The sequence below is a fragment of the Homo sapiens genome, chromosome X, assembly GCF_000001405.40.
Source record: "Homo sapiens chromosome X, GRCh38.p14 Primary Assembly".
Taxonomy (NCBI): Eukaryota; Metazoa; Chordata; class Mammalia; order Primates; family Hominidae; genus Homo; species Homo sapiens.
The window spans coordinates 66,590,932-66,609,392 of NC_000023.11; the positions used below are offsets into that span (position 1 = coordinate 66,590,932).

An 18,461-nucleotide genomic window follows, 5' to 3' on the forward strand; every position below is an offset into this window, starting at 1 on the left:
TTTGGATTTTCTTTCTTCATTTCTTGGATATCCTTGCTAATGGTCTATCAATTTTATCTTCTCAAAAAAACCAGCTTTTTGTTTCAATTTTCTTGTATATTGTGTTTTTTGCTTGTTTATTTAATTTTATTTAGTTCTGATCTTATCTTGGTTACTTTTTTCTTCTGTTGGGTTTGGATTTGGTTTGTTCTTGTTCTGTAGTTCTTTGAGGTCTGGCCTTAGATTTTCTGTTTGTGCTCTCTCAGACTTTTTGATGTAAGCCTGTAGGACTATAAACTTTCTTCTTAGCACCACCTTTGCCATATCCCGGAGGTTTTGATAGGTTGTGTCACTATTGTAGTTAATTTAGAAGAATTTTCTAATTTCCATCTTAATTTTATTCTTGACCCAATGCTCACGCAGGAACAGGTTATTTAATTTCCACGTATTTGCATGGTTTTGAAGGTTCATTTTGGAGTTGATTTCCAGATTTATTTTACTGTGGTCTTAGAGAATGCTTGATATAATTTCAATTTTCTTAAATTTATTGAGGCTCACTTTGTGGCCTATTATATGGTTTATCTTGGAGAAAGTTCCATGCGTTGTTTAATAGAATATGTATTCTGTGGTTGTTGGATGAAATGTTCTGTATATATTTGTTAATTCCATTTGTTCTAAGATGTAGTTTAAATCCATTGTTTCTTTGTTGACTTACTCTCTTGATGACCTGTCTAGTGCTGTCAGTGGAGTACTAAAGTCCCCCACTCTTACTGTGTTGTTGTCTATCTCATTTCTTACGTCTATTAGTAATTGTTTTATAAATTTGGGATCTCCAGTGTTATTTGCATATATGTTTAGAATTGTGATATTTTCCTATTTGATGAGGGCTTTTATCATTTTATAATGTTCCTCTTTGTCTTTTTAACTGCTTTTGCTTTAAAGTTTGTTTCGTATGATATAAGAATAGCTACTCCTGCTTGCTTTTGGCAGCAGATAGTTGGTTAGTGAATTCTTATCCACTCTGCAATTCTGTACCTTTTAAGTAGAGCATTTAAGCTATTTACATTTAATGTTAGTACTGAGATATGAGGTACCATTCTATTCATCAGGCTATTTGTTGCCTCTATACCTTGGTTTTTTGTTTGTTTTGGTTTTTTAAATTGTATTTTTGTTTCATAGGTCCTGTTAAATTCATGCTTTAAAAAAGTTATGCTTTGATGTGTTTCCAGGATTTGCTTCAATATTTACAGCTGTTTTTAGCAGTTCTTGTAGTGCTGGCTTGGTAGTGGCAAATTCTCTCAGCATTTGTTTGTCTGAAAAAGTCTGTATCTGTCCTTCATTTATGAATCTTATTTTCACAGGATACAAAATTATTGGCAGATAATTGTTTTGCTTTAGGAGACTGAAGATAGGGCCTTAATCCTTTTTAGCTAGTAGGGTTTCTGCTGAGAAATATACTGTTAATCCGATAGCTTTTCCTTTATAGGTTACCTGGTGTTTTTGTCTCACAGCTCTTAAGATTCTTACCTTCTTCTTAACTTTAGATTACCTGATGACAGTGTGTCTAGTTGATGATCTTTTGGTGATGAATTTCCCAGGTGTTATTTGTGCTTCTTGTATTTGGATGTCTAGGTCTCTAGCAAGGCTGGTGAAGTTTTCCTCAATTATTCCTCCAAATAAGCTTTTCAAACTTTTAGATTTCTCTTCTTCCTCAGAAATGCCAATTATTCTTAGATTTAGTCATTTCACATAATCCCAGACTTCTTAGAGGCTTTGTTCATATTTTCTTATATATTTTTTGTCTTTGTTGGATTGGGTTAATTCAAAGACCTTGTCTTGGAGCTCTGAATTTCTTTTTTCTACTTGTTTGATTCTATTGCTGAGACTTTCTTGAGCATTTTGCATTTTTATAAGTGCAATAACTGATTTTATATAACTGATTTTATAATAACTGATTTTATAATAACTGATGATATTTTGACACTAGTATGTGATTTTGGAAACTCCTAGGGAGACTGTCTGATGTAGTTTTCCAAGCTGAACACTATGAGGGACTCAAGGGGATAAACATCCTCTTTTTTGAGGCCTGTCTTAAGGAGGCATCTGTGGTGTAGTGGACAGTGCTGGGCCTCAGAGTCACAGTCTTGGGCTGAAATTCAGCATATCACTTGCTGCTGTATATTCACAGAAAAATTATTAAACCTTTGTGAACTTTAGTTTCTTCTTTTGTTAAATAAAGATTGTAAAAAATGCCTACCACCTAGGAATATCATGAGTATTAAATAAGACAAAGTATGGAAGTAAAAAAGCACACCAGCAATAATCACTAAATATTAGTTTTTCATCCACCTTCTCTTTCACTGCACTACTCCTTAGAAAGGAGGTCTTAAGGAAGGTAATTTGCTCTCACTAGAAACCACAAGGAAGAAAGGCTTTGTAGAAGATAACCATGTGACTGCACAGCTGCCCTCAGTGGGGATCCATTTTATCTGGACAGGCAGCAGGTGAACCCCTAACACTCATGTGTACACAATTTCTGAGGACTTAAAAGCCTAACTGCTGGGTACATAGAAACTTGCCAATCACACTGTGAGCATAAAATGCAGTAGCATCATACCAGCCCAGAAATATGCAAGTGATTTTAGTCCCTAATGAAAAGGTTATTAACAATCACCTAAGAATCTTGTCTGACAGTTTGATGACTTGTTTGCTGCTTTGATCCATCTATTCCCAGAGATCTGGTTCCCCATGTCCTTCTGGGGTATACAGTGGGGGCTCACTGCCCTTTGACTGACACAGGCACACACAAATCAACTCCAAAACAGAGAAGTGTTGCCTAAATGCTAACCCTTCCTATGCCTTTATCATCATCCATAAATCAGAGGATTCTGTTTCCCCCACTGTACCACCATTCATAATTTTATCAAGTGAGAATGCAAGGCCCAGTTAGGATTTAAAAAATGCCTTTTCTCAAATAGAGGCATGATAAATACACAAGTTCTGGCCTCTTACCTCCTGGTAATTCCAGTCACTTCTCCCCCATTCTGTAGTGGTTCCCTCAATAAGCCCTTCTACAGCCTGTGATAGTTATTTCCCAATATATCTTTTCCTATGCACACCCCTAAGCCTTAGTGGTTTCCTCCGTCCTTTCTCCTTTGGTATGAGTGATACCTCCTAAATCGTCCTCCTCTAAGTTCTGCCTAGATGTTTTCTCTCCCTCTTTTCTCTAGGCTACATAGGGTCTAGAGAGACTAAAAAGAAGAGAACGGAAAAGGACTCAAGTTCTGTCTCTTTCTTTTGCTCTGAACTGAGCAATTAAGTTGTGAGTGTGTGTGTGTGTGTGTGTGTGTGTGTGTGTGAGAGAGAGAGAGAGATTGGTTATGGAATCAGCCCTAGTAATGAACATTTTTAAGAAAGTAAATTAGTAAACCAATAGCAGTCTACTCAGAGATCAGAGATCAGTAATCATAGAATATTTTTAAAACAGCTTTATTGAGGAATATTCTAAATATTATAAAATTCATTCATAATTTCATGTATACAAGTCAATGATTTTTATTAACTTTATTGAGTGGGGAAGACATCAGCATAACTAAATCTTAGAACATCTTTATCCTTTAAATAAGATCCATCATGCCTATTAACATTTAATTGTTTTTCTCATGCCCATTCCAAGGCAACCATTAATCTACATTCTGTCTTGATTAGCATGCTTTTTATGGATATTTTATATAGATGGAATCATACAATATGTGGTCTCTTGTATCTGACTTATTTTACTTGACATGATTTAAGGTTCATCTACAATGTATTATGTGTCAGAAGTTCAATATTGTTTATTACTGAATAGTATTCTATTATATGTATATACCACAACTTTTTATCTGTTCATCAGTTGATGGACATTTGGGTTGTTTCCACTTTTCGGATATTATAAATAATGTTTCTATATTTGTATACAAGTATTGTGTGTACATATGTTTTTAATTATATTGAGTATATATCTAGGAGTGATATTACTGGATCATACTCAAGTTTAGCTTTTAGAGAAACTGTCAGACTGTTTTGAAAAGAGGCTATACCATTTTATAATTCTACCAGCAATACATGAGGCTTCTCATTTCTCCACATCCTTGCCAACATGTATTGTTGTAAAGATTACAGAATATTAAAGATGGAAGGAAACTTGATTTTCCTATCTCTTAAATTAAATTATAGTAAAGTATAGCATTCAAAATTAAATAGTTTCTCTTTAGGTGGTCTCTTTAACCTGGTAAGATTATCAACACAAATACAGACCTTGAAATGGCAAGGCAGTACTCTTAACAGGTCTAGCTAGAATATGCTTGTATTTTAAGACATTATGATCAAAATGAAAACACACACACACACTGAAATTCCTAAAGATTTTGCAGACCTCAGAAGATGTGCAGTGCACGGTTCCCTTAGGACCATGGAACCCTGTTTGATAAGTATTAGTTTAGAACACAACAATTTCTAGTAGATCCTTATCTCAGAGGAGAATATAAATGGCATAAACAATTTTAGAAAAAGAAAGAGAGCTTGAACTATAACCCAGATCTCCTGTGTGACAAGTCAGTGAATCCCATCACTACTGATGCCATGTCCAATGATCAGAAACACATTTTTTTGCTGTGCTCACTAAGAAAAGACACATGAGCAAAATGATTCACCAGGTTCTCTGAAAGTAGAGGAATAAACAAGGTTTTTGGATATATTTCTGTTTATTGGCCAATATGAAATGTTTGCAGAGCATCATAAACAAACATAGCCCTGCCAGTATCTACACATGCATATGGCTCAAGAGTTAACAAAATTTCTATAAATAACCCATTTATGAGAAAAAATAATTAAAATGTACCAATATTCAATGTAAAACACTGAAGACCTAGCTAGTAGGGTGGGGTTGGTAGAGAGGAGTGGGACAGGAGGGATTATGATCTCAATGTGACAGGGCTGTATGTTGTAGAGGGGTATGCTGTAGTGCTGAATCCTTTCCTAACCTGGATCTGAGAATCTTGGAGGAAAAAATTATTTTCCCAGGCTCCCTCCTGTCAAAATCCAAGTCAAGGTATATGGAGAGAAAAACAGTAATCCAAAAAAAAAAAAATTCATTCTCAGGAAATACCTCCCCTTCCTTACAAACAAAAACTACATTTTTTTTTTTTGCTAGTTCATTTAGAGACAACTTAACTGCTGTTTAGGCTCAATGTATGTTGAAAATGTTTTTATCAAGTGTACTTTGTTCTTCCACTGACCAATAACCCCTTTGTAGAAAGACACATAAAAGCACAGTGCTCAAAGAAATATGCCTCAGCATTGAAAAGTAAAACTGTAAAAAGAACTCTCCTGAAGCAAATACTCAACTATGGTATTTGCCATGGCCAAACAGAAATTATAAAGACGAAAATCCTTCACTTCACCTTTACCCGAAATACTTTAAAATGCAAAGCCAATTGCCACCTCCAATTGCTGAACCTCAAAAAGTTGGAATTAAGGTGATTCTGGGTATGGCTTGGGCTGTCCACATAGCATTCATGCCATGAGCAAGCACACTGAAGAAGTCTTACTCTTTCACTTTATCATATTTTTGTTATTATTATTATTATTACTGTGTTACCATCATTATCTTTCCTCTAGAGCAGCAGTGTCAAATGTGGGCTTGAACCACTGCCAGCCACATGGCAACCTTTGAACACCTGCAGCCTGCTGAAGCCAAATCATCCCCTGTCTGGATATTATTTCTTCTACCAGAAGGTCTAAACATGATCAGTGAAAGCCAGTGAGATAAGAATAACCTGTTGCAGAAAAACAAAAACAAAAACAAAAACAAAAAAAAAACAGGAAACCTAAAGGCCAAGGCCTAAAACCTTGGTTACCACATATTTGCTAATACCTGTGTGGGGCCAGGCTGCTTGCTTGGTACAGGCTTGTATTTCAATTGCTTCTAATCCTCAGTCCAGTACAATGGGACCTTTTTGCTTTTTCCCAAGTCCTTTTAGTAATCTGATCAATTGGTTGCCCCAGGGGCCCTTAATCAGTGTTTGTAGATGGATGAACCCAAAAGATGTAGTTAATAAAATTCTAAAAGCAAAAATCTTGCTGTAGACAGCACTCCTTTGCCAGAGCTAGAACCTGGTGATGAAGTGCACATTCTGCCTAATGTACTTAATAAACCACTTAATAGTTGTGGGACAGGAACTAGCTGTACAAGTTTCAGACAGATTCTTGGAGAATAAAGAATACAACCTCTAAGGAACTTGTTTTTCTCTGAGCATGAGATGTATAGGTGGGAGCTAAAGGCAAAAAGACAATTGAGAAAGAATCAAAGGGGAACGGTGGTGAGAAAGCTGGGATTGAATTGACATTTCAATAGAAAGAGGCATACTCAGATGTCCCTACATGGATTGAGGGCTGTCTTTGAGGGACTGCTGTGGGGTAGTTTGGGGAACTCAGGCCCCAGAAGGAAGATTACTTTGGCTCAGAAATGTTCTGTAAGGTTCCAAAATGGCGAACTTCAGCCCTTCTCCCTGCTGAGGGTGGTGAGAACCTCAAATACAGGGTGAGGCCCCAGGGATCTAGAGGGAAAGTGTTTGCCCTGCCTCATGCTGCAATGCAGCAGTCTGAGACATGAACTTGGGAATTATGGCACGAGGCCTCCCCCAAGATAGATATTAATGTGTGTGTGTGTGTTTGTGTGTCTATGTATATGTGTGTGTATGTGTGTGTGTGTGTGTTGAGGAGGGAGACAGTGTGGAGGAGCTAAAAGGGGAGAAGGGTTTGATTTTGTCCCTAAAGTGCTAGGTAGATGTGCCAACACAATTTTGAGAGGCTTACCTGACCAAAAATGCAGACATGAAAACCCTACCCCATTCACTGTCCTCTCTCCTCTTCTCTATAATCAAGTTGAGCTAGGAACATGTCTGGTAGTCCCATGAATGTGGAATCTGGCTCCCCAGACTACAAAAGGGAAGCAAGAAATGCTCCAGATCAGTCCTTGTGAAATGGAGAATCAATCCTCTGGTGGGATGGGATAGGATATGCCCCATCTGTAGGGTATTAGCTCTTGTGGACATCACATTTCAGGCCCCTGCTGCTGTTGTGGTATAGGAACAGAGTCCAGAGAGAACAACTGGGCAAGGCTGCCAGGGGCCCAAGAGACCTAAGGAGAGAGCAAACCAAGTTAGAAACATGTGGGGAAATCTCACTAGCACCCTTCTTTCTCTACCCCTCCAAATATCATAGGTTAAGCCAATGGTTGAGGATGTAATAGCAGAAAGACATTACCTAGATAGGGATATGACAATTCTACCCTATTCTACATTGTTGAAACCATTTATCCTGAAGATAGGTTTAGTTCTAAGCTCCACATACTTTAGAAGAACCTAAAGTGGTATTCTCCAGAGAGGTGGTGTTGTCTTCAAGCCTCTGCAGGGCTATCTTAAAGCAGAGGAAACTGATGAGGTCTGTCTGGCACGAGGAACAGAGCCAGGATGGATAGGCGGGTACTACAGGGAAAGCTCTTTCTTACATTGAGCTCAAACCCACCAGTCACAATTGTGTATACTGTAATATACATTGAGAAGTAGTCAGCCCTCTGCCACCTAAAGTATGTGAGCAAGGACTACACAAACTCTTAGTGGGGATATTATAAAATGGACCCAAACCTTGGAAGAAGAACTGGACTAGATAACCTTGAAGGTACCTAAGTTGATTGATTTGACATCAGTTATAACTTTCAAATTTGATATCAGTTATGACTTTCAAATATACATTTGTTCACGTTTTCTTAGGTTGGATGCAGGGAGCAGGGAAGTCATTGGGAGAACTGAAAATGTATTAACTGAAGAAATACGGAAGTGGGCACTGCAAGATATTTGGTTAGTTGAAAACTGGGAATCTACCTACTCTCCTACCTCATGCTACATAAGCTTTGAGAAAGTAACATTGGCTATCAAATGGTTGCAATGGTGGAGTTGAACCAACTCTAAAATGTAGCCCCCAAACCTGGGTTCTTGCACAGTTCTAGCCCACTAATTTGCCCTGTGACTTTGAGAAACTAACTTTCCCTCTCTGTGTCTCAGTTCCTGCCTCTGTAAAATGTAAAATGAAGTGACATACACACAAGGTTTGTATAGTTATTAGGGAATGAAGGTTGATTTGAAATGTAGGGTTTCCAGATGACAAGGCTTGTATATCTTTTTCTACTGTGCTATGCTGCTTGCACACATAAAGGGAGATACCTGAATATGACCATTAGATAGTGGGGCCCTGAGAGAGCTTACGAAAGACCAGAATGGAGAGACTGGTATCATGACAACCTTGCCAGTTCCCTGACAATTGTAGACCCAGAAGTGTGATATCTGTCTGGCTTAAAAGTTTAGCATCACCACTGTTGCCCCTCCACCCAAAGTGTTCCTAGCTTGCTGCTGTTCCTCCACTCCTAGTGAATAATACTATTCCAAAAGAGAATTCCTTGAGGTTAGTCCTTAATTTCTGTTTTGCTTTTTTTGTTTTTTTCTGATCCACCTTTCCAGCTCACCTCATTAGAGTTAAGGGCTGGGAACTTCAAAGGGCACATTGAGCTCCAGCCTGTCTCCAGTGCTTTCGACTGTGTTTCCCCCCAAGGTCTCAGCTCCAGTATAGGAGGCAGAGCTGGAAAACTTTTGCAGGTCCAGCTCTGTGCATTCGATGGGGCTGTGGACCCAGTGGGAGTGGCTCTCTGAGGTGCAGGAGGCCATGGTAAAGGACTCCTGTGTGGGGAAGCCACTAGTCGAGCTGCAGTCGTCCTCGAGGATAGGGTTAAGTGGCTGGGTCTGAAAGATGTTCTCACTCACTTGGGACTCAGCACTGGTCTCCTTGCTGGGTGGCACGGGGAAGAGAGATTCCTCCTTTGCTGTTTTATCAGCCTCAAACTGCAGCAAACCTCCTGCAACTCGAAGCAGAAAGCCACTGGGTTACCCAAAAGCAGGGGCTCTTCTCAGCTGGGCACTGGGTACTGAGTACAAGACAGGTAAAGGTCTGGGAGCTGATTCTTTCCTTCCTCTCCCTGGGGTCTAGAGCACCTAGCACCAGGCTGAGGTGACACAGTTGAGAAACATACTTACATTCAGGTATCAGATTGAGGCTAGCTGGTACTGGATCAGAGAAAATAATCAATTTCTCTAGAGAAAAAGAAACCTTTGTGGGAAACAGGATTTTGATACCATCTCCCTTGCCATAATCTTCATGGCCTGGTCTTATGTCTATGTACATTAAGTTACATGGCAAACTAGACTCTGCAGATGGAATTAAAGTTATGGATTTCAAAATAAGGAGAGAATCCTGGATTACTCTATGGGTCCAATGTAATCCTGTGTCCCTAAAAGCAGAAGAGGAAGGCAGAGGAGACAGAGAGTATCAGAGAGATGTGGCATGAGAAGAACTCAACTCATCATTGCTAGTTTTGAAAATAGAAGGGGGCCATGAGCCAAAGAATGTAAGTGGTCCTAGAGGCTAGGAATGACCTTCAGCTTACAGCCAGCAAGGAAATGGGACCTAAGTCCTTTAACTGCATAGACCTGAATTCTGCCACTTTTGTGCATGATCAAGCAGATTCTCTCCCAGAGACTCCAGAAAGAAACACAGCCCTGCCAATATCTTAATTTTGGCATTGTGAGACTCTAAGCAGAGACAAAATTGAGCCTACTGAACTTCTGAGCTATGGAAACTGTGATAATAAGCTACTAAATGTGTGGCAATTTGTTATGGCCATGATAGAAAAGTAATACCCCCTTCATGCATGGATCTGGTTCAACATCAGGTCACAAACTGAGAACCTATGGGATTTGTGTTTGTCCTCTTTGCTTTGGTTGTGATTTTGCTCTTTATTCAAATTCATTGACTATGGTTAACACAACTTCATTAAAAAAAATCCAGATTTCTGAATTCTCTTGAAAATGTAGAAGATCTTGCAACATTAAATATTTCCATATGGTTACAAACAGCTGGATCCAAGTAGTGGGATTCCCCTTTAGATAAGGGATGTGCTCTGTAGTTTGCCACAGTTGCACTTTTCTCTCTTGCAACCTTACACTGGATTTAATTCGCACATACATCTCACCCCAGTATGTGTGTAAGTCAGTGACTCCTGAAAAACAGTTTTCCAAAGTAAGAAAATGTCTAGCCTTCCTAGCCCTTATAAAAACAGTGAGGAAACTGCCTGCCCTCATATTCCAAGCAGGTTACCACATTATTATCTTCAGGATAGAAGGAGAGCAGAAAAGGGTTACCCATCTCTCTTCTTCTGAGGCAGCTCTCTGATATTTTCTCATTTTCATCTTCTGGACCCTGGAGTCCAAATGCTTCATTGCTCATGTTTCATGTCCATGCACCCAGGGCCTAAGCAACAACTCTTATCTGGGACACTGGCCTCCAAAGTCAGAGACAGGAAGGTCTACCTTGAGTCACAGTGTCCCAGGAGCTAGCAAGAAGTAGACTTTGAGAAAAATCATAAAGGAACAACAGTGTTCCCCGTGTATCCTGCAGCCCATGAAATGCTATATTCATCTCCAATTAAGCCAGGGCACAACCAAACATACCTCTTGGGCTTTTCAAGATCATCTGCTAGGCCCCAGAGCCAAACTGACCCAAGGCAAATTTACATTAGCAGGATCTTCCCACACAAATACTGCAGCTTTGCACACAGTATCCAGTGGGCTGAAAAGGAGTCCTGAGCACTCTTTTATCTAGTAAACTTTATCTTCCCCCTTATAAATCAACTTCATTCTCTGATCTGAGTTCCTGTTTCAGTGTCCCTGCCTAACTCTCAGTTCCCTTAATGGCAATGAAGCTGCACTGAACCTTGGTACTCTTGGCTGGAGTTCTAACTCTTTGCCTGGTCCTGATCAGCCACATTCCCACCTCCCCCATCTTTGTCCTCAGTGAGCTGGCTTTTCTGTCCCACATTCTTGTCTAGTAGCTGAAGTTGTGCTTAATAGAGATCACAATGTTACTGTGACTTTAAATATGATTTTCCATCTGGAATTTTGCATGGCTGTCTGATATGGACTGGGCTAGACCTCTTGACATCAGTATTATCTGAGGGAGAAAGTCCAGGTTTGCCAACTACTCTGGACATAGGGCTTTCAGTTATCCCCATTTGTGAAGTTATTATACTGATAGCAGTGGCCTTAGACCTCAACCACTTTTATTACAGTCGTATCTCAGATATAGCCAAGCCTTCCTCAATTCATGACATGCTCTAGAATTTATACCTACTAGTATAGATATAAAGAATTGGAAAAGAACCCAGAAATCAACAAATCCAATCCTATCTCTTATCTTAAAGATTAGGAAGAAAGAGGTCTGAAGAGGCTAGATGACTTGTCTAAGGTTACACGGTGATTTAGAGGTAGACATAGAACCTAGGTCTCCCGATTCCTTTCCTGAGGGGTTTCCCACCGTGCCACATTCCTTTAAAATCCCCTGAAACATAATGAACCAGGTCTTCTAAACTCTCAGGGTTGGCTTCAGTAATCTCTTAAGTCCCATGCTTTCCATTGCAGCCCCAGATAGTTCCCCAGGCCAACAGAAGACTATTCATGGGGTTTTCAAGCATGGTAGAAAAGGCCCATTGTCTCTCAACCCCAGAACATCCCTCTCTTCTGCCAATAAGAGCCTTGTTCCTGATTCATGTGAAACATGAAACAGCCACCCTTACCACGCTGGCAATGTCTGTTGAAGAACTGCTTGCAGTAGAGGAAGAAGAGCCCCAGGAAGGCCAGGGTAAACACCACTAGCAGGCTGCTCACCAGTGCAACAAGTGTGGCCTCCTGAGGGGGCACTGTGGGTGTATCTGCCTCCACTAAGCTCAACTGGAAGGCACCTGTGAGACAAAAAAATGGGGGAGGTCAGTTAGCATGGGCAGTAAACAGTCACCCTGACCCTGGACCTGGACTTCCTCAGGCTGTCACCCTTCTCCCTAGGGCCTTCCCCAATTAGGGTGGCTATGCTGGTTTTACTTCTTTCTAGAGCAGGCAAAATTATAAAGAACAAGGCAAAATAATTTGTATATAGTGCTGGTATGTAGAAATTAGTACAATTAATCGAAGATGCACATATCCTGTGATCTTTCTGTGCCACATCTAATTATATAATCCAGATCAATGGAAACAAGCTAAAAAATTCATCAGTAGAGCACAAGATAAACAAATCATGATATAATCCTAAAATCTTACATTATTATACAGCACTTAAAGGCCTTTATGGATCAATATAAATAATCTAGAGGGGGAAAAAGGAAGTTGGAGAAACAGAACATATAGCTTGATATCATTTCTATAAAACATTATACAATACATAACAATAGCATATATTGGTTATGAATATGCACACATATCACAAAAGAACCCAAGTATTAAAACATTAGTGGAGAGTATGGCAGAGGTATAGTGCTCACCAGTTATCCACATACTCCCATGTATTTCCCTTACACCCTTGCAGTAAGGCCATCAGAGTACTTCTGGCCAATGAACTGTGAGTTGAAATAACATGTGTCACTTCCAGACTGAGGCAGTTAAGAACCAGTATGTCTCCTCCATCTCTTCCCCTGTGTCATTGACCTGGAAGACATATGGTCTAGAATGCACAGTCAAATGATGTAGGAAGGCCTTTGCATAGTAAAAAAAAAATAAACTTTTATTGTATAAAGTCACTGAGATTTTGCAGTTTGTTTGTTACTTTAGCATAGCCTACCAACAGAATACATACAATTTCAGGATAGTGGTTGTATCTGAGGAGGTAGGGAGGTAATAGGACTCTGAGAGAATCTAGAAGAGAATTCCATTATATCTGTGGAATCTTTATTCTTTTAAAACATCTGAAGCAAATATGCAAAATGCTATGATTTATTAACTTTGGATAGATGCTGGGTGATTGCATTTTAATTTTATATTTTTCTGCACTTAAAAATATTTCTACATGTTTGAAAACTTTCATGATTTAAAAAATATGTCAATAATTTTAAAATAGGAAGTAAGTAAATAGATGGTAGACAAAAAAGATAGACGATTAGATAAATGGATAGTGGTATAGGCATAGATTGGACCCTAGTTCTTCATTCAGCCTCTTACAAGTCCTCAGCCCTAGGGGCTCCTATATACTTCATATAATAATAATATCTCATAGGTTTACAAATATTATAATTTGTGAAGTGCTTCCTAACATCCATTTTCTCATTAGACCTAGATACCCATCACACAAGGTATGAAGAAAAATGATTATCATGACTCACCCTTTTTTCAGAAGTAGGAAATGAGGTTCAATGAGATTGAATGATTTGCATAGAGTTGCAAAGATAATATGTTGTAAAACCAGACTTCTAATCTGATTCCCTTGCCACTCTACTCTACATGAAAAGGTATGAGGGGATATGGGTAGTCTTTACTACCCTATCTTGCTGCCACCCAATGGGATGAGGAGAAAGGGAAGAAGAGAACTGGGTACACACATTGAACCTCAGAGGTGGGGGTCTGCTTCGTGCACGGGATGCACTCTTGGTCCTGCAGGCCTCCAATGCGTGTCTTTCGGTAGAACCTGTGTTCAGAGCAATTAGGAATGGCAGGGTGATCAAACAAGCAATGCACTTGGACCAGTTCTTCCTGGGAAAGCAGCTCCTAAGAATCTTGCCAACCTGAAAGTAAGTGCCCACCCCTCTTTCTGAGTTATCTGCCTCTGTGTCTTTTTCTGACTCAGAGACCCAGACACTCTACTTCTTCCCCCATTCATGACACCATGTAGCCAAAAGGAGACCTAATTCCACAAGAGAGGGGTGCACTGCTTTGATACCAAGTACATCATAACTTCTTTTAAGTCTACAGTGAGATTTACCTTGAACTTTGGTCTTCAGCTGAGAGTGATGATGGAAAAGCGGTCAAGTACTCATCTGTGACTGACAATGTGCTAAGCACTTTATAGAGGTATCTTGGGAAGACACCACTTCTCTCTTCTGGGAGCTTAAACTGAATATTATGTTTATAAGAAGAATATTTCGACTAAGTTCTGAGAGGTGAGGATGGGAGAAACCTCCAACAGCTAGAAAAGCCCAGACAAGCTTGGTCTCATAAAGCAAGCTCACCTGGGCAAACAGTCCCCACAGACAGCATTAGAGGTAGCTGTGCAGTTGACCTTCTGAACACGATTGATGACAGCACAGGTGATGCAACTCTGACATCTGTGGTGGCCCCAGCTGCTTTTGTACCTGCGAGGAGGGCAGGCTGTGCAGTAGGCATCTCCACCCTCTCCATAACCACAATCCTGTAGACAGATGGGGGTTGTTAATATTGCTTTATAGGAGCTTGGAGATGGGATCACCTGTGGGACAAGTGGACTGTACAGGGTAGTATTTTGCAACTTGCAACCCCATTACTAAGTCATAAAACCAATTCACTAGCTTCCAGCCAGCATTGAAAGATAAAATAGAATGAAATAGAATAATAGTATCAAATATAAGAGTACATGGAATGAAGTAAAGCTAAGTATTTGTATCAGTCAGCATAGGCTATGCTGCAGTATGGCAAAAGTCAAACCCTAAATCTCAGTGTCTTAAAAGAATAAAAGTTTATTTCTCACTCATCATATTTGCCTACCAGGGGGTTCCTGAGGACTCTGCTGTACATCATCCTCAATGGGGTACCCGGGGTTACAGAAGCTTTATTTTTCTGCTTTTATGATTGAAACATTGTGAACTGCGTACAAGCTCTTAAAGTTTTCCCCAAGAAATGACCCATATTGCTTTACTCACATGTCCTTGGCCATACACATCACATGATCATTAATAACTACAACAGGTACAAGAAAATGCAATTCTACAATGTGACAGAATGTGGGGAGCTGAAATATTTGACAAATAGTCATAAGCACTACCCACATAAGTACTGTTTTATAAAAGTTTTACAGATAAAATGCATGAAAGTATATATTGGGTTGTGATAAAAAGTTATTTCTTACTCTAGGTCATGGTAAAAAATGTTTGAATGCCAATGGTATAGATGAGAGGCAAACACTCTAGCTGGCTCTTGTCTCAGCTCTGGTACTAACTTTGGCCATATTCCTTCCCCCCGACCCCCAGTTTCTGGGCATCAGAAGTCCCAACACTGAGGAAATTGAAATAAATGCTCTCTAGAGATTCTTAGATCTGACAGCCTAACTTCAACAGGAACAAGGCTCCTGCCTGATACCAGTCACAGCTCTTTCTCAAAGAAACAATTCTAGTTGTGAAAGCATATTAATTGTATGCTAGTTGTAGCAGAAGCTGGCTGGTTGTTCACTTAACCTATTCTTTATTTCTCCTGGGAACACCATTAGCCAAAATTCTTTAACCCCACTGCAATGAAGTGGGGGCATGTGCATCATTTCTAGCCAATGAAATATGGATACTAATATTGTTTGCCATTCCCAGGCTTGACTCAAAAACATGTCCTGTGTGATACTTAAATTTTCTTCATACATTCATTTTCCAGTGCATGCTGACACCCCTGGAAACCTTGGAATAAATATATTAAGAATGATAGCGGAAGCCAGATAAAATGGAGGAGTAGGCAGCTTCAAGCTCTTATGCCCCTACAGAAACATAGAAAAACAAGCAGGAACTGTCATAATCAATGTTGTCAGAACTCTGGAAAACATTCAAAGGCTTACATCAACCATGTAAATGTTAAATCAAGAAAAAGGTCACTTGAAAATAATAGGAAAGTTTTCTGCTATTTTTACTTGTACTTGTTACATCCCTCACCCCAGAGCAGTGGCAGTCCTAAAGTAGTGGAAGTCTTAAAGTAGCCTCAGCCTGTATTCCTAGTGTGAGACCTCAGTACCTGATTCCAGAGTGAGCTAAGCAAAACTTATTGACAAATTACTGTGTATGTCTGTCCTAACCTATTTGAGGGCTATTTGAAGGACTGATACAAGGTATTTATGTATGTTCCACTCGATTGAGAATGCAGATTGGAAAAGTGATGGGCACTGTTTCAAAATGTTGCAAGGCAAACTAACAAACCACAATACCTAGGGCAATGATTATGGATTAAGACATAAAACAGACTGTCTGAATCTGGGAGCAAAAGCTGGGGGAGGTTCCTTTAGAAATAAGTACATTCAAAAGTATCCACATGGAGGAATTTAGAAAGGTGTGTGCATACAAGACACATGCTCAGAAAATACTAGTGGAGACCTAAAGCTTACATGTCAGGCTGATCCCTAAGCTAAGTGCACATCTGGCTAACTGTTTAAGTAGTTCCCCAGCACAGAGCCAATCTAAAAATGTGAGAGTAATGTGTGACTATTTTTTCTTTTGGTTGTTGTTGTCATTTTTTAACTTTTAGCATTCAATGAAATTGCTGTCCAAACATTAGCTGAACATGAGCTAAATTAACATAGGTTTCAATGGCGATACATGACAAAAAATAGTCTCTACAAAAATAGTTTGGAAAAACACCTAAACAAATGGAGTGCTAGCCTAGGCAACACGGCAAAGCCTTGTTGCCAAAAATACAAAAATTAGTTGGGAATGGTGGCATGCACCTGTGGTCCCAGCTACTCAGGTGGCTGAGATGGGAGGATCGCTAGAGCCCGGGAAGTGGAGGCTGAAGTCAGCAATAACCATGACACTACACTCCAGTTGGGGTGACAGAGCAATACCCAGTCCCAAACAAAATAATAATAATAACAATAATGATAATAATAACAACAACAGATGGACTACTATAGCCTTCAACAACACAAATCTAGAAAACAAACAAACAAAACCAAAACCAAAAGTAAAACAGGAAGAGGGGAAATCTGACTACCAGAGTTACTTCATTACAATACAAAACTGCCCAGTTTTTAACAACAAAAAAATAAATCACACAGTGTAAAAAGAAACAGGCAAGTGTGGCCCATTCAAAGGAACAAGAAAAAGAAAGAATTGAGACTATTCTTGAGGAAGCCCAGACATTGCACTTAGTAGACAAAGACTAAAAGAACTGTCTTAAATTTGCTCAAAGACACACATGGACAAAGAACTAAAAGAAATCAGGAAACAAATGTATAAACAAAGTGAGAATATTGGTTAAGAAAAATTGTAAAATGGAACCAAACATGAATACTGGAGCTAAAAAGTAAGATAAATGAAATGAAAACTTCACTAGAGAATTTGAGTAGGTAAAAGAAAGAATGAGCAAACCTGAATGTAGGACAATTTAAATTATCAAGTCTGAGGAGAAGAAAGTAAACAGAACATAAGGAACTTGTGGAACATCATGCAGGTGACCAATATATGCATTATGGGATTCACAGAAAAAACAGGGAGATGGGGGACGAGAATGAATATTTGAAGAAATAATGGCTTAAAACTTCTCAAATCTGATGAAAGACATAAATTAACCCATCCAAGATGCTCAAGAAACTCCAAGCAGAGTAAACATAAAGAGACCTATGCTGAGATACACTATCAAAAAATGTTTATAGCTGAAAACAAAGAGAAAATATTGAAAATCAAGAGTGAAATTACTTGTCAAGTAAAGGTATTCTCGATAAGATTCAAAGCATATTTCTCATCACAAAGTGCAGAGACTTAAAGTCAGTGAGATGACATATAAGTGCCTAAACAAATAAACTGTTAACCAAGAACTCTATATACAGAAAAAAGTTCTTCAAAAATAAAGGAATAATTAAAACATCCCTAGACAAACAACAGCTGATTGATATCATTTGACCTGACTACAAGAAGAGAGTCCTTCAGGCTGAAATGAACAGACAATGGAGAGTAACCCAAAGCCATGCAAAGAGTAAATATCTCTGGTAAAGGTGACTGCATGAAAAAATATGATTCCACTTACATGAAATATCTAGAATAGCAAAATTTGTAGAGACAGAGAGTAGAGGCTATCAGGCACTTTGGGGAGGGGGAAATTGGGAGTTATTGCTTAAGGCATACAGAGACTGTATTTGGGGTAATAAAAAGTCTTAGAAATAAAGGGGTGACGGTTGCATAACATTGTGAATGTGATTAATGCTGCTGAATTATACACTTACAATGTCTAATACAGCAAATTTGAGATTACATATTTTACCACAATCTTAAAAATCATAATGCAGTATACCAAAAACCATGAATTGTAAACCTAAATGGGTGAATTGACTGGTATGTGAACTGTATTTTAATAAGGCTGCTTAAAAAACACAGAGCTCCCATAAGCCTGGCTTCCTGAATGGCTGAGAAGAATCTTCCTACTCCCCAACATGGATTGGAGTCACATTCAGGAATAAACCCTTAACCTCTTATGTCACCAAACTTTAGTATTTGTTACAGCAGTTAATATTACCTGAACTAACATTTAAGTTATACTTTCCCAGGAGTTGGAAAAAGTGAGCATCAGGCAGGCTCGAAATACTCCTTCCATTCTGCCCCATGTTTGCCCACTCAGGCTTTACTCAATGCCTTG

The 18,461-nt window shown here is 39.2% G+C and overlaps 1 protein-coding gene across 53 annotated transcripts in view, besides 1 other annotated feature; it reads right to left on the reverse strand.

Annotated features, from left to right (window-relative positions):
- The window catches only part of EDA2R (ectodysplasin A2 receptor), a 43,633-nt gene continuing 29,877 nt past the window's right edge, over window positions 4,706–18,461 (reverse strand). For 4 of the 53 annotated variants that reach the window (XM_011531001.2, XM_047442294.1, XM_047442296.1 and 1 more), the window contains 5 exons: window positions 14,117–14,295; window positions 13,490–13,575; window positions 11,702–11,866; window positions 9,108–9,164; window positions 8,544–8,935 (listed from right to left, as the gene is read on the reverse strand). In XM_011531001.2, coding sequence (XP_011529303.1) covers window positions 8,553–8,935; window positions 9,108–9,164; window positions 11,702–11,866; window positions 13,490–13,575; window positions 14,117–14,295 — 870 coding nt within the window. In that variant the 3' untranslated portion in view covers window positions 8,544–8,552. 53 annotated transcript variants of the gene reach the window in all.
- Window positions 10,737–10,836: a silencer, noted in NCBI's record as "silent region_20884". NCBI's record gives its function as "represses an Ori minimal core promoter by ATAC-STARR-seq in GM12878 lymphoblastoid cells {active_cell/tissue: GM12878}" and the evidence as "EXISTENCE:reporter gene assay evidence [ECO:0000049][PMID:35858748]".